The sequence below is a fragment of the Homo sapiens genome, chromosome 2 (genome assembly GCF_000001405.40).
Source record: "Homo sapiens chromosome 2, GRCh38.p14 Primary Assembly".
Lineage (NCBI taxonomy): Eukaryota > Metazoa > Chordata > Mammalia > Primates > Hominidae > Homo > Homo sapiens.
Window position 1 is genome coordinate 84,195,982 of NC_000002.12, and position 14,008 is coordinate 84,209,989.

The 14,008-nt window shown below is 39.3% G+C and overlaps 1 long non-coding RNA gene across 1 annotated transcript in view; it reads right to left on the reverse strand.

Moving 5' to 3' along the window:
* Positions 1-451: 451 nt before the first annotated feature.
* The window catches only part of LOC107985905 (uncharacterized), a 134,425-nt gene continuing 120,868 nt past the window's right edge, over positions 452-14,008 (reverse strand). The window contains exons 2-3 of the long non-coding RNA XR_001739572.1: positions 8,980-9,047; positions 452-593 (exon numbers count right to left, since the gene is read on the reverse strand). This is a non-coding gene — a long non-coding RNA (uncharacterized LOC107985905). The remainder of the gene's footprint in view (positions 594-8,979; positions 9,048-14,008) is intronic.

The window sequence follows — 14,008 nt, forward strand, 5'->3', positions numbered from 1 at the left end:
CCTGTTACAAAACTCCTTCAGTGAGCATCTCCCCATCCTGTCAGTGGTGCATTCTCTAGAACGATGCATACACAGCACTGAGCTCTGCTGACTACCACAAAGAGGAGGGTTTGGGACAGATGCCAATCTCAGCAAATGAAGAAGTGATTTCCTGCTGGCCATGGCTTATGGGGCCCTGGCTCTTTAGGAGGACTACTTGCAAGGCAGAGTTCTCTCCAGAGGCTTCAAGTGGTACCAAAGCAATGGGGCTCCCACAGACTGTGAGCTCCTGTGATGTTTCAGACACTGGATGTCCATTCTTTCTGTGGGCATGGTGCTGGTTTTGTCTTACCTTTTTGCGTATGAATGCTGTGTGTCCTAATTCCTTCTGTGCATTGTTGATACATAGTGTCACTATTCCATAATGGAACTTTAGCAAAGCTTTTTGAACTGGAAAAACATTGTCCCTTGGAATAGAAATATAGACACGATGACATTTCCTGGGTAACACCACTAAACATGCCCTAACAGCAGTATCTTAGTAGTGCCAGCTCTCTAGCATGTCATGGAGGTTCTACATGCATCCTCGTACACAGTTCTTGATCTACATAGACCTGAAACACACACGGGGAAGGAAATATAAAAGATTGATTTTCTAATCTCCAATGCTATATTAAAAAGCACTATAAAATAAACAACACTGCTGGAGTCTCTGGTAGGTTCCCACTTACTTGTAGAAAATGACGTAAGTCCAGAAAAGCACAACTATACCTCACAGAGGAGTACAGAAATCTTAACTGTAATAAAAACTTGCAATACAATTGCTGAGATTGCTCACCCAACAGTCAACAACTTTTGGCAGACACGCTCCTAATACAGTGTGGGAGACGGTTCCAGGCCAAGAATATAAAGTAGCTGTCTATTTTATTAAAGTAAAAAAAATAAGTTGGGAATACACAAATTCTGCGATTGTTACATTGAAGTATTTAAACTTTCTCTAGTGAAATAATGTGAAACAATGGTAATCTCTACTACCTACTCTAGTTCTAGTCCGATAATCTAGCCCAGTATTATTTAAACATGGTCTCAGAGCTCCACAAGTTCTAATATGTACATTTTTAGTTCCTGCTTTTGCAAATAGCTGCCCCAATCAAGTTGGTTTCATGTAATCACCAAATATGATCACCAAAAGTACAATTATATTTGACATCTTGATAGACACTTCTGGCAGAATTTAGGTTCGTATGTTCAAATGTAAAAATATATATATATAATATATATTTTAATATATAAAATATATATATTTTATATATAAAATATATATTTTTTAAATATAAAATATATATATATTTTAATATTAATATATATATATTTTAATATATAATATATATATTATATATTTTATATATAAAATATATATATTATATATTTTATATATAAAATATATATATTATATATTTTATATATTAAAATATATATTTTATATATTTTAATTATTAAAATATATATATTATATATTTTAAATATAAAATATATATATTATATATTTTAATATATAAAATATATATATTATATATTTTAATATATAAAATATATATATTTTATATTTATATATATAAATATATATATTATATATTTTAATATATAAAATATATATATTATATATTTTAATATATAAAATATATATATTATATATTTTAATATATAAAATATATATATTATATATTTTAATATATATAAAATATATATATTATATATTTTATATATATTAAATATATATTTTATATATTTTAATATATAAAATATATATATTAAATACATATATATATACTTACATTCCACATCTTCCCATTATATTAACCCTGAATTTTCTTACGGTTTTATAGGCAAGATTGTTTTACATGTATCATTGAAAGATAATTTCCACAAAATAAGACTTTAGTGTCTTAAGTTATTTACTAAACTAATTGTATTCATTACCTGTTGCTGCACAACACATTACCCCAAAAGTCAGCAGCTTAAAACAACAGACATTTCTTATCTCACCATTTCTGTTGGTTGAGAATCTGGGCCCAGCACAGCTGGGTCTTTTGCTTCAAGGTCCCTTTCAGGTGGCAATCAATGTGTCAGTTGGGCTGCAATCATAGCAAGGCTCAACTGGGGAAGGATCACGTCACTGTTGGAAAGAGTCAGTTCTTCATGGGCTGCTGGACTGAGGATCTGGGTTGCCAGATGGCAGTTGGCTGGTGGCTTACCCCCCAGTCCCTTGCCATGTGCACCACTTCAAAATGGCAGCTTGGTCCACCAAAGTAGACAAACCAGAAAGGCATTAGAGAGAGTTTGCTAGCAAGATGGAAGTTACAAACTACTGTAACCAACCACAGAAGTGACATCTTATAATCTTTGCCATATTCTATCAGGAGCAAGCCACCAGGTCCAATCCATATTCAAGGAGGGGAGATTATACAATGGTGTGAATATCAATAGGAGTGGGTATTAAGGACCCTCTTAAAAGTCTGCCCATCATAGGGATTTTTGTATTAACACCATGAAAATTAAAATGTGCTAGGTGCAATTTTTAATTGCTGTGGCTAATAAAACACTAACAGCTTTAATGTGAAAAGAAGGTGTTTGAACCAAGTGGGGAACTGATGTACTTGATAAACCAAGGTTTAAGTAGCTCAGACACAAACAAATAGGAGAATTAAATCTTTGCCCACCACAGTAGAAACATCTTCCCAAGTGCATAATATCCAACAACCCAAACCACAGCCATCAGTGCCATTTTCACCTTTAAGTCATAGATTAGTTTCAGGAAAACATTATCAGCCATATCCAAATAATAGTATTTTTCTGAATATTATTAAAATAGCAGTTGAATTGTTTGTATAAAATTGGTGCATTTTCTCCATTTAATAGTTCTTTCAGAGTCAAGAGCTACAAGCACAAGAAGTTTGTACTACAGTGTATAATAACACTGTAACAGGAATGTGTGGCACATTACTGGAGCTTGAGAAACATGGCATTCAGCTTATGTTTTTTAACTTTTATTTTTGGTTCAGGGGTACATATTCAGGTTTGTTATATAGGTAAAGCTATATGTCACAGGAGTTTGGTGTACAGATTATTTTGTCACCCAGGTAATAAACATAGTACCAGATAGGTAGTTTTTTTTTTATCCTCTCCCTCCTGCCACCTTCCACCCTCAAGTAGGCCCCAGTGTCTGTTGTTCCCTTCTTAGTGTCCAAGTGTTCCCCTCTTAGTGTCCACTTATAAGTAAGAACATATGGTATCTGGTTTTCTGATTCTGCATTAGTTTGCTTAGGATAATAGCCTCCAGCTCCACCCACGTTGCTGCAAAGGACATGATCTTATTCTTTTTTATAGCTGCATAGTATTCCATGGTGTGTCAGTACCATATTTTCTTTATCGAATCTACTGTTGATGGGCATTTGGGTTGATTCCATGGCTTTTCTATTTTTAATAGTGCTGAGATGAACATACACATGCATGTGTCTTTATGGTAGCATGATTTATATTTTGGGGGTATATACCCAATAATGGCATTGCTGGGTCGAATGGTAATTCTGTTTTAAGTTCTTTGAGGAATTGACACACTGATTTCCACAATGGTTGAATTAATTTACATTCCCATCAGCAGTGTGTAAGCATTCCCTTTTCTCAGCAACCTCAGCAGCATCTGTTATTTTTTGACTTTTTAATAATAGACATTCTGAATGCTGTGAAATGGTATCTCATTGTGGTTTTGATTTGCACTTCTCTGATGGTTAGAGACGTTGAGCATTTTTTCATATGCTTGTTGGTGGTATGTATCTCTTTTTTCCAGCTTGTTTAAAAGGCCAGATGCCTTAGCATTCAGAAGAGCCTGCAGATTCTCTCAGGAATCTGAAAGCTAACCAATTAGCATTTGAGTATTTCATAAACTTCATTTCAGTAATAATACATTGAGATATTAAACTAAAATGTCCCCCATTTTTTATGAGTATCATTGCCCTGTTGTTGTTTAGGGGAGGGAGGAGCCAAATGAAAATAAAGAGGTTCTTGCTCGGCACTGAATTTCAGAGAGGGTTTTTGAAATCTAGGGTGAAATAATAATCCTAACAGCCTAGCTGTGTTGAAGGAGAAAATGACATTTCAATTCCAAAAGATTCCTTCTCTATATCAAGAGCAATACTTTTAGTTTAAGGATAGAGCCATGGGGTGGAGAGAATGGACAGGAAGCCCGATTATTCAGAAAGAAGGAGACGGTTCCACTGCTGAGAGAAGGTGGAAGAGAGACTCAGAAGGGCAAATAAGAGGCTGAAATTCAGTGGTATTCTCTCTCTCTCTCTCTCTCTTTCTCAACAAAACCTCAGGGTAGGGAGGGAAAGATGGCAGGGGAGTACAAACCTCCATGTCAGGAGGGAATCCATAAACCCTGAGGTGGTCCCTCAGGATGCCAGCTCTCAGCGATGTGCTGCTTCTGGCAACTGGAAAAATTTTTGTGTCCAATTGTGTGGTGGATTCTGCTGTAGCAGAAGGAAACATTTAGAGAGGTGGGCCTGAGAGGAGGATCCCAGCAGTTCATAGGATGATGCCCCAACAGAGGCCCAAGATTGTGGCAAGGAGCCCCAGACTATGGGGTCCTAGAAATTCTAGACACATTGGCAACCATGTTTTGGCCTAGTGTTGGTAAACCCACTAACTTCATCAAAAAGCCCACATCCATAAGGGTTTCTTAGAACCCTTATTGGAACTGGTAGAAAAGGGGAGTTCTTATTGTCTCTCTCTGGGGAGCTTCATTTGCTGTTTTGCAGACTCTTGGCATCTGGTAATATCCATGTTCTAAGGAGAAAGAGATAGGAAAGGCACCTTGACTCCAGTAACATGAAGCTCAAAGACATTGCGGCCCCACCTCATGTGACTGCTGGGGGCTCCCCCAGGACTCCCAACATTTCCACTGTGTTTTTGTCAGCAAGCTGTCTTTACTGGATAACTCTCCAGGCTCCTAAAGCCAATGCAATATGACAAGGATGCCTTTGGTGTGCCACCCAGGCAGAAGACTTTGCTTGAGAACCCAGGGATTCCTGTTCTGCCGTCCTTGGGTAATCTGACAGGGTTGCTGACACAGATTTCTCTAATTGTGCTCATACTTTCTCTCCTCCCTTCCTTTATTCTTCCCCTTTCCCTTTAAAATTGGATAAACTCGAGAATGAGTTTCACTTTCTTTGACTCTAGAAAATGGGACAGTACCCTATGCATCTCAGCTGCCTCAAAGACCCTCTATCCCATGGGAGCCCACAGCACCAAGAACCCTGCGAGATGAGGCAGGAAGAAACCAGGGAGTCTCTTCATGCTTCTGCTTTTCTACAGTTTGTGGTCTGTGGTATGGAAGTGTCTTGTTTTTTTCAGGCAGCTATAATAAAAATACCACATGCTGTGTGGCTTATAGACAACGGAAATTTACTTCTTGCAGTTCTAGAGGATGAGAAGTCCAAGGTCAAAGCACCAGCAGATTCGGTGTCTGGCAAGGGCCCGCTTCCTTGCCAGTGAGCTATTTTCTCACTGTGTCCTCAAATGGCAGAAAGAGAGGAAGTTTTCTGAGATTCTTTGCATGAAGCTGCTAATCCAATTCATGAGGGTTCCATCCCTATGACCAAATGGCCTCCCAAAGGCTCACCTCCAAATACCATCACACTGTGGCTTAGGATTTCAACCTAAGAATTTGGGGAGACGTAAATATTCAGCCTGCAGCAGGGATATGTGACAACACAGATGATCTTTTTATCCATGGCCTCCAAAATATCTAATCTCAGATTTATTATTTTCCAGATTTTTTTTCATCTGGCAGCTGCTCAAGTTCCTAAAGAATATATATGAATGATACTTCGGTAAGTGAGGAACACCTCCAGATCTCTTTTCTTCCTGGTGTGCCTGGTACAAAATAGGCATTCATAAATGCTTGTTGAATGAATCGATGACTTGTGAACAGGGAAATCTCTATGTACTGAGACCCTGATGGCCTTGGGGTTCACCTAAGGCTGCTTTCTGTACAAAAATGTTTGATGTTACTACTCCAGGGCTTTTCTCCTGATAAGCAGCCATGGCCACTCTGAAGCCAATCTGCCCTAGAAATCTTAGGATTTACTTAATTAACCTCATGATGCTCTTGACACACATTGAGAATGGGAAAAAATGATGGCACTGACATTGCTCAAAAGCACGATGGATTACACTTCCTTCCATATGACTGCCTCTTTTCAGCCCCATCTTAGTTCAGCTACCTGTTGTCAACCGTATCACCCGGGATCCAAAAGAAAGAGTCAGCACTGTTCTCAAAGGAGGCAAAAGGGGAATGCTTTTGATGTTTCTCTTTGTGGGCACTCTGCTTGCATCTTGTAAATTCTTATGAGCTTGCAATAAATAGTACGTGCCAGGGAGCCCTGTTCAAAGTCCCTAGATGTACTGAGTCACCCTCAACATCTTGGCATCTAATAAATCACTTACATCCATGTGTGTGCTCCCCATAGCCTGGTAGCCCCACATCCAATCTAGAGGAACCACAGAAAACAATTTTCTTAGCAAATGGGAGCAAATAAAGGACATTATCTTCAAACAACCCACACAAAATGAAGCTAACAACCCACACAAAATGATAAGATAAAAAGAAATGTATTCCATCATAAAGGCCCTCACCAGGTGGGCAACATGGACAATGTGTTATGGGCCTAATTACCAGAGAGTCCAGTCAGTGAAAAATCTCATGCAAAAGGCTTCCTTTTCCCTCTGACCAGGAATTAGGACTCAATGCTAAAAGGAATCTTGTTGCTGTGGTCAGAAAGAAGAAAACTGGACTCTACATTTTAGTTCTACTATCATGTAGTAATTTTCTCTTCAATTACTTTCATCTATGTACAATTCAAATGTCTCAGATCCCCGAAAAAAACCCATCAAAAGTCCCACATTTGTACAAAGAATTCGTAGGAATGTTCCTGGTCTAAGATGAAAAGAGAAATGGAGAAGGTGTGTGTGAAACCATCTTTCTCCTTCCAAATGTGGATTCAGGGTGCCATTCTCTGTGACACGCTATCTCTATACACACATGCAATTGTACATTTTAGTCACATGACCATTTTCTTCTTGGCCATATTATAAAAATTCTACTAAACCATAAAATGTTTTACCTGTAGATGAAAAGGGATTTTTGTTTATGCCCCTGAAGTTGAAGCTTCAGTGATACAGGCTCTAAGGTGGATGTTACAAGAACAGCAGAAAAGACAGAAACCAGGAGAGACAGAAAGAAAATGGAAATAACTGCAGAGACAATGAAGCAGAATTCAGCTTCTTTTTTTGAAGCTTAACATCTGCTTCCTCCATCCCTCCTAGAGCACCTTGTTTCCCAGGAATGAAGAGCCAGGAAAAGCCTCGAGTGCTGTGATTGGAAATGAGCTAGCCAAAGGCAGATTCACCATTAAAATGTGAATCCGTTATTCCACAAGGAAAGAAAACAACACCATGTACGCTAGTGGTAAGTAGAAATGCCATCACATTTGGGGCATGAAAACCGGAGGCAATACTCGCAGTGAAACAAACTGTCAACTATGGCTGGAAAATCCAAGTGACCTTTCAAATAAGGAATCGTTACCTACCCAGGTGGACAGTAATTTTGAGTGGTTCTTAGTCTCTGCCTCAGGTGAGATTTCTGGCAGCAGACACAGCATCACATGTCTTGTTTCTTTTATCCCAAAAATTCTCCCTTCACAATGATGAAAAGTTGAAAGAATTGGGTTTTTTTAAAAGACAAAAGGCCTATACTCCATACAAGCTTTGTAACTGCTGAATCCTGTGGCCTGGGATGCGGGACTTAACCTCTGAGCTTCAGTCTTCTCAACTACAAAATGGGGATAATAACAGCCACTTTCTTGTGTTACTGAAACAATAAAATGGAAAATGTTCACAGCCCACTGTCTTGCCTATTATTAGTAATCAATAAACATTAGTTGCTTTCTTCCTTCTCCTACTCACCAAGACTAAACTCTACTCTGAGTCACTAGCATGCCAGGTAGCTCAGTCTCCTGACTTTAAGGAACTTCTTTCCCAAGGGACAATTGATGGAAAAAAGCACTGAGCTTTTGGGAGCCCCAGAAACATGGAGCTAAGCCACTGGTTTGCAAACACTTTTAAAGTGCTTAACCCTTTATTAAAAAGAAAGCTCATATAAATGCATATAGATCTAAGTTAAAACATGGCTTTTGGCCTTTCTGCTCCTCTGAGTGCCACCCCACCAAGGAAATCTCTAAACAGAGTTCCAAAAGCTTGCACTTAATGGTCCCCACGTGCCCTCTTTAATCTATGAATACTATTGACCCATTTTTTATGTGCTTTAGGTTTTTTTAGATATATATCTGTCTTTAACAGCAACTCTCATTTTAATTAGCCTTCAATCCTTAGACAAAACTCAGAAACACCTGCCACAATGTCTGGAATTTTATTAGAAATTTACTCCTTTGAATCTTGAAGGCTTTTTCATTTTTCAATAGTCACCCAGAAATTGTAAACTCCCTGAAAGAATCTGTACCTTCTTCAGGGTTTTGACCAGTCTGTAAGGATAAGATGCAGCCTGACTAAATGATAGATGCTCAAGACAGAATACGGAGAAGCCAAGAGCAGATAGAGTAGACAGAAAGCTAGAGCTAGAAAAAAAAGACTCCCTGTGCCTCGAAATAAACCCTGTCCTCTAACTCTTATACTTTTCTATTATTCTTTAAAGGGACACAATTTTATTGGCTATATGAAACAAAACCTTTCCCAAAATTTGCACTGTCTTACTACTCAAGGCAAAAGATGGATTTTAGATGTAATTTCAAAACTAAACAGGGTGATTATTTATTGTCTTCATACTGTTAAGTACCTGTTCTAGACTTTGTTAAAAATATGTAAAGAAATAACTCAGTTTCATGTCTTGAAGACATAAATTAAGAAGAGTGATCAAGAACTCACCATGGGAATGGGTCCATACAGGAATTTGTGGCATGCCTACAGAGTTGAAGAAGGGTCACCTCTCTTCTCTGACACATGAAAAGAAGAAAAAAAAAGTCCATGAAGATAAGAGTAGACCTAAGAGGGTAATTTCTTAATTATTTAATGTACATTTAACGTACAGATGCATAGTATTTTCCCCCAGAGCATCTATATTTTGTCCCCGTTTGATAAAGCCCTTTACTATGTATTACGCAATCTGGGGCTTGGGGATAATTAGTGGAATAAAAGTTGTGTCCCACTTTCTCTTCCTCACAGCAATATTAACCTGGCATCCCAAAACTTGAATTTCAAAACTACAGTCAGTTCTGTTATAATGTAATATAGTATTCCTGAACATCACCATGCTATGCAAAATTGTACAAGAAAAATTACAGGGTTTAAGAAGAAAATGGGAGCACAACATTTAAAAATGTTGTCAGTGACATGTAAACAAAAGATAGGAACTAAATAAAAATGATAGTTTTACACAAGTTAAATGGCTAGTAAATATTGCAAAAAAATGTGACTCCTTATCTTGAAAAAAAACCTGAAGTGGCCTATGTATGTGAATTTAGGAAGGCTGCAGCTTGTAAGTTACTGGGAAACGGAGGAAGGAGGGTTAGTTGAAATCACACAATGTGAAATCAGACAGGGTCTAAGAAGACAATGGGAGCACAACATTCAAAATTGTTGTCCATGACATGTAAACAAAAGACAGGAACCAAATAAAAATGGTAGTTTTACACAAGTTAAATGGCTAGTAAATATTGCAAAAAATCTGACTCCTTATCTTGAAAAAAACCTGAAGTTTGCCTATGTATGTGAATTTAGGAAGGCTGTAGCTTGCAAGTAACTGGGAAATGGAGGAAGGAGGGTTAGTTGAAATCAGACAATGTGGAAAGGTCAGGTGTGGAGGGATACAGCTGATAATACACATAGTGAGCTGACAGAGCTGGTAGACATGCACATGCTCATTTTGTGAATTCTTCCATAGCCCAATACAACAGAGTGCAATTTCTGCATTCATCCAGCATTCCCTGTGGACAAAACTGTGAAAGAAAATGCAAAATCACATTGTGCTCAGTTCACCTCCTAATATTTCAATCTTGTTGAAACAAATTTGTGTCTTCAAAACAAGCATTATAGAAGAACTGACTATATCTGGAATTTTCAGGTTCTTATCTCTCACTGCCACCCTTCTTTCCACTTGCAGAATAAATTCTCCTAATACAAATCTCATCTTTTGTTTAAGATCTCTTAGAAGAAGCAGACATTCAGATGAATGTTTCAGGTGATAAACGAGGCAGGATTTTAAAAGACAGAGAGATTGTGGTTTGCTCAGTTCTCTGTCAAAGTTTCCTTGCTGAAGCATAATTGAGCCTGATATTGAAGAACAGTAGAGTTGGGAGAGAAGGCAAGGCATAGGCAAGCAGACCTAGGACCCAGACCCAGGACCAGGCTCTGTGCCTACAGGAAAGAGTCTTGTTTCTAACAGGGCTCAAGGTATTAGTAGCTACTCTTGATGCTGACTTGAAGAATTTTACATTTACTAGATGTTCCTATCTACCCTTTTTAACTTGCTAAGAATACCATCTGTGAATTTACCTAAATCTCCCTTTTAAGCCTCTAGCTATCTTAAGGAATATTGTCGTGCAAGAGCTGGGCAAGAACCAGGAGCATAGTAATTGGGACATTCACTCACCAGTATTGAATTGACCAATCACTGTTTGCGATGCCACCTAAGTGGAAAAGGAAAGCTAAAATCACATTCTTATGAGTCTAGCAACTTCGTGGCAAGTCTCTGTGGAGCTCAAAGCCATCCTAAATTACAGAGCTTTTATATTCTGTGGCTGACAGCTGCTTCTTCCCTTACCGGTTTTTCTCTACTATTGGTATTTGGGGTGGTGCAATTATTTTTTGTGCAGGACTGTCCTGCTCAGTGCAGGACAATCAGCATCCTTATCTAACACCTACCAAATGTCAGTCGTGTACCCTAATCACTGCAAATGTCCAAAATGCTTCCTTCACAAACCCAAACACTTTTGGCAGGTTAGAGCGTTCCCTGAATGAGAACCACTGCCACTGACGTCTCCTTCAGCTGCAAACTTCCTTCTCCCTGCAGATGCAGGCCTGCCCACTTCCTGAGATAAACACTCAAGCAGTTTTCACTCATTTACCTTGGAGAGAATACACTATCTTGGATACAACAGAAGACATTACAGCAGAGAAAAAGGAGAATAGGAAAACTCTACATGCTCCTCACTGTATTACATTACTCTTCTTTAGACAAGAGTCTCACTCTATTGCTCATTGCAATCTCCGCCTCCCAGGCTCAAGGGATTCTCCTGCCTCAGCCTTTTTTTTTTTTTTTTGAGATGGGGTTTTGCTCTTTCACCCAGGCTGGAATGCAATGGCACGATCTCGGCTCACTGCAACCTCCACCTCCCTGGTTCAGGCGATTATCCTGCCTCAGCCTCCTGAGTAGCTGGGATTACAGGCATGTGCCACCTCACCCGGCTAATTTTTTGCATTTTTAGTAGAGACGGGGTTTTGCCATTTTGGCCAGGCTGGCCTCAAACTCCTGACCTCAGGTGATCCACCCACCTCAGCTTCCCAAAGTGCTGGGATTACAGGCATGAGCCACAGCACCCGGCCTCAGCCTCTGGAATATCTGGAATTACAGGTGTGTGCCACCATGCCCACCTAACTTTTGTATTTTTAGTAGAGATGGGATTTCGCCATGTTGGCCAGACTGGTCTCGAACTCCTGACCTCAAGTGATTCGTTGGCCTCAGCCTCCCAAAATGCTGGGATTACAGCCGTGAACCACCACACTGGGCTTACCTTACTCTTCTTATGCATGAAATGTTAATATCATTTCTGTCTCAGAACAGTCCTATAAAATTGGCCGTGGAAAGAAAACTGTGACTCAGAGGTCTGTCCCTGGTCAGGCTGCTGATTTGGGATTAGAATCTGGTTGTCCTCATGTTGCTTCCTCTTGTGCTCATCTTGCCAGCCCTTACTTCCGTTTCTTGGCCCTGGGAAAAGAACCTGAACTCTTTTTCACTAGCATCTGACTTCCTTCTTCCATGTTCTGCAGAAACTTGATTTTGCCATTGATGCTGTTGACCAAATATTTCCAGCTCTCTATCTTCATAGCACATGGTGATATTATACTTCCAGCCCATTTCTGGTTCTTCAAAGCAGCATTACTAGTTCTGGCCAATAAATGGTGAGCATTTAACAGCCAGTGCGAGAAACTCATTCTCTTTTCCCTCTGACGTAACAACTGGCAGCATTTAAGATGTTGTCTCTTCTATCAGCATGGATCCAAAAGTCAGGAAATGTTGAAGCAGAAGCCTCAGCCGAACCAAAATGGACAGCTAGTATGAGCAATAAAAAGCCCTTAGCTGTAATAAATCACTAAGATCTGAGAGTTGTTTGTCACCAATGTGTGATGTATCCTATCCTGACTGATACAGAATTATCTGCTTCTCCCAACATTTGCTCCTGAGTCAGTTCTCAGGTGTTTTGGTGGAATAAAAGAACTTCTCAGATCCATCCCCTATACCACATACGCACACGAATACACACACACACACACACACACACACGCACACACACAACACATGGGCCAGATTCCTTATGAGCTAGTGCCTCTTCTGCACATCTTCCTTACTGTGATGGTTAATACTGAGTGTCAACTTGATTGAATTGAAAGATGCAAAGTATTGTTCCTGGGTGTGTCTGTGAGGGTGTTGCCAAAGGAGATTAACATTTGAGTCAGTGGACTGGAAGAGGCAGACCCACCCTCAATCTGGGTGGGCACCATCTAATCACTGACCAGCATGGCTAAAATAAAAGCAGGTAGAAGTTGGAAGGACTTGACTTGCTGAGTCTTCCAGCCTTTGTCTTTCTCCCATGCTGGGTACATCCTGCCCACAAACATCAGACTCCAAGTTCTTCAACTTTTGGACTCTTGAACTTTCAACAGTGATTTGCCAGGGGCTCTTGGACTTTTGGCCACAGACTGAAGGTTGCACTGTTGGCTTCCTTACTTTTGAGGTTTTGGGACTCAGACTGGCTTCCTTGCTCCTTGGCTTGCAGATGGCCTATTGTGGGACTTCACCTTGTGATAATGTGAGTCAATACTGCTTAAACTCCCCTTCATATATACATCTATCCTATTAATTCTGTCCCTCTAGAGAATCCTAATACACTTAGGATTTTTAAATTTTAGCCATTTCACCTCTCACACTCTTTCCCCTTCCTTTTAAGAGTCTCACTCTGTCGCCCAGGCTGGAGTGCAGTGACGCAATTTCGGCTCACCACAACCTCTGCCTCCTGGGTTCAAGCAATTCTCGTGCCTCAGACTCCCAAGTAGCTGGGACTACAGGTGCATGCCACCACACTCAGCTAATTTTTTGTATTTTTAGTACAGATGGGGTTTCTCCATGTTGGCCAGGCTGGTCTCGAACTCCTGACCTCAGATGATCCGCCCACCTTGGCTTCATAAAGTGAGCCACCACACCCGGCTCTCACTTCCTTTTGAAGCATCAGTCATTCTAGACAGTAGAATTGGCTCCAGGATACCCAGTTGTTTTTGTTTCACTGCAAGTTCTTTAATGATAGGGAATGTGCCTCATATCAACTCTGCCTACCATAGAGCCTGGCACAGAGAAAGCAAAATACAAATACTTGTTAAATAACTAACCTTTGTAATCTAATGCTAAGAACAAAAGGGGAAGAGAAATTATCTAGGCTAACTATTTTTTTCCTCCAAAAGTACTGAGAAGAATAAGGAGTAAGAATACACATGCTAGAGAAGAAATATAATACATTTTTAAAAGTTTGGAAACTCAGAGTTATAAACACATAATCAATTACTACCACAATATAGAAGTTTTTCTTTTCTTTATAACCAAGAAAACTTCTCATTAATTACATCATGCTCCATAAGTTATACTTTATCAGCTATCAAATAAAAGACGTTTTATCTCATTCTAGAT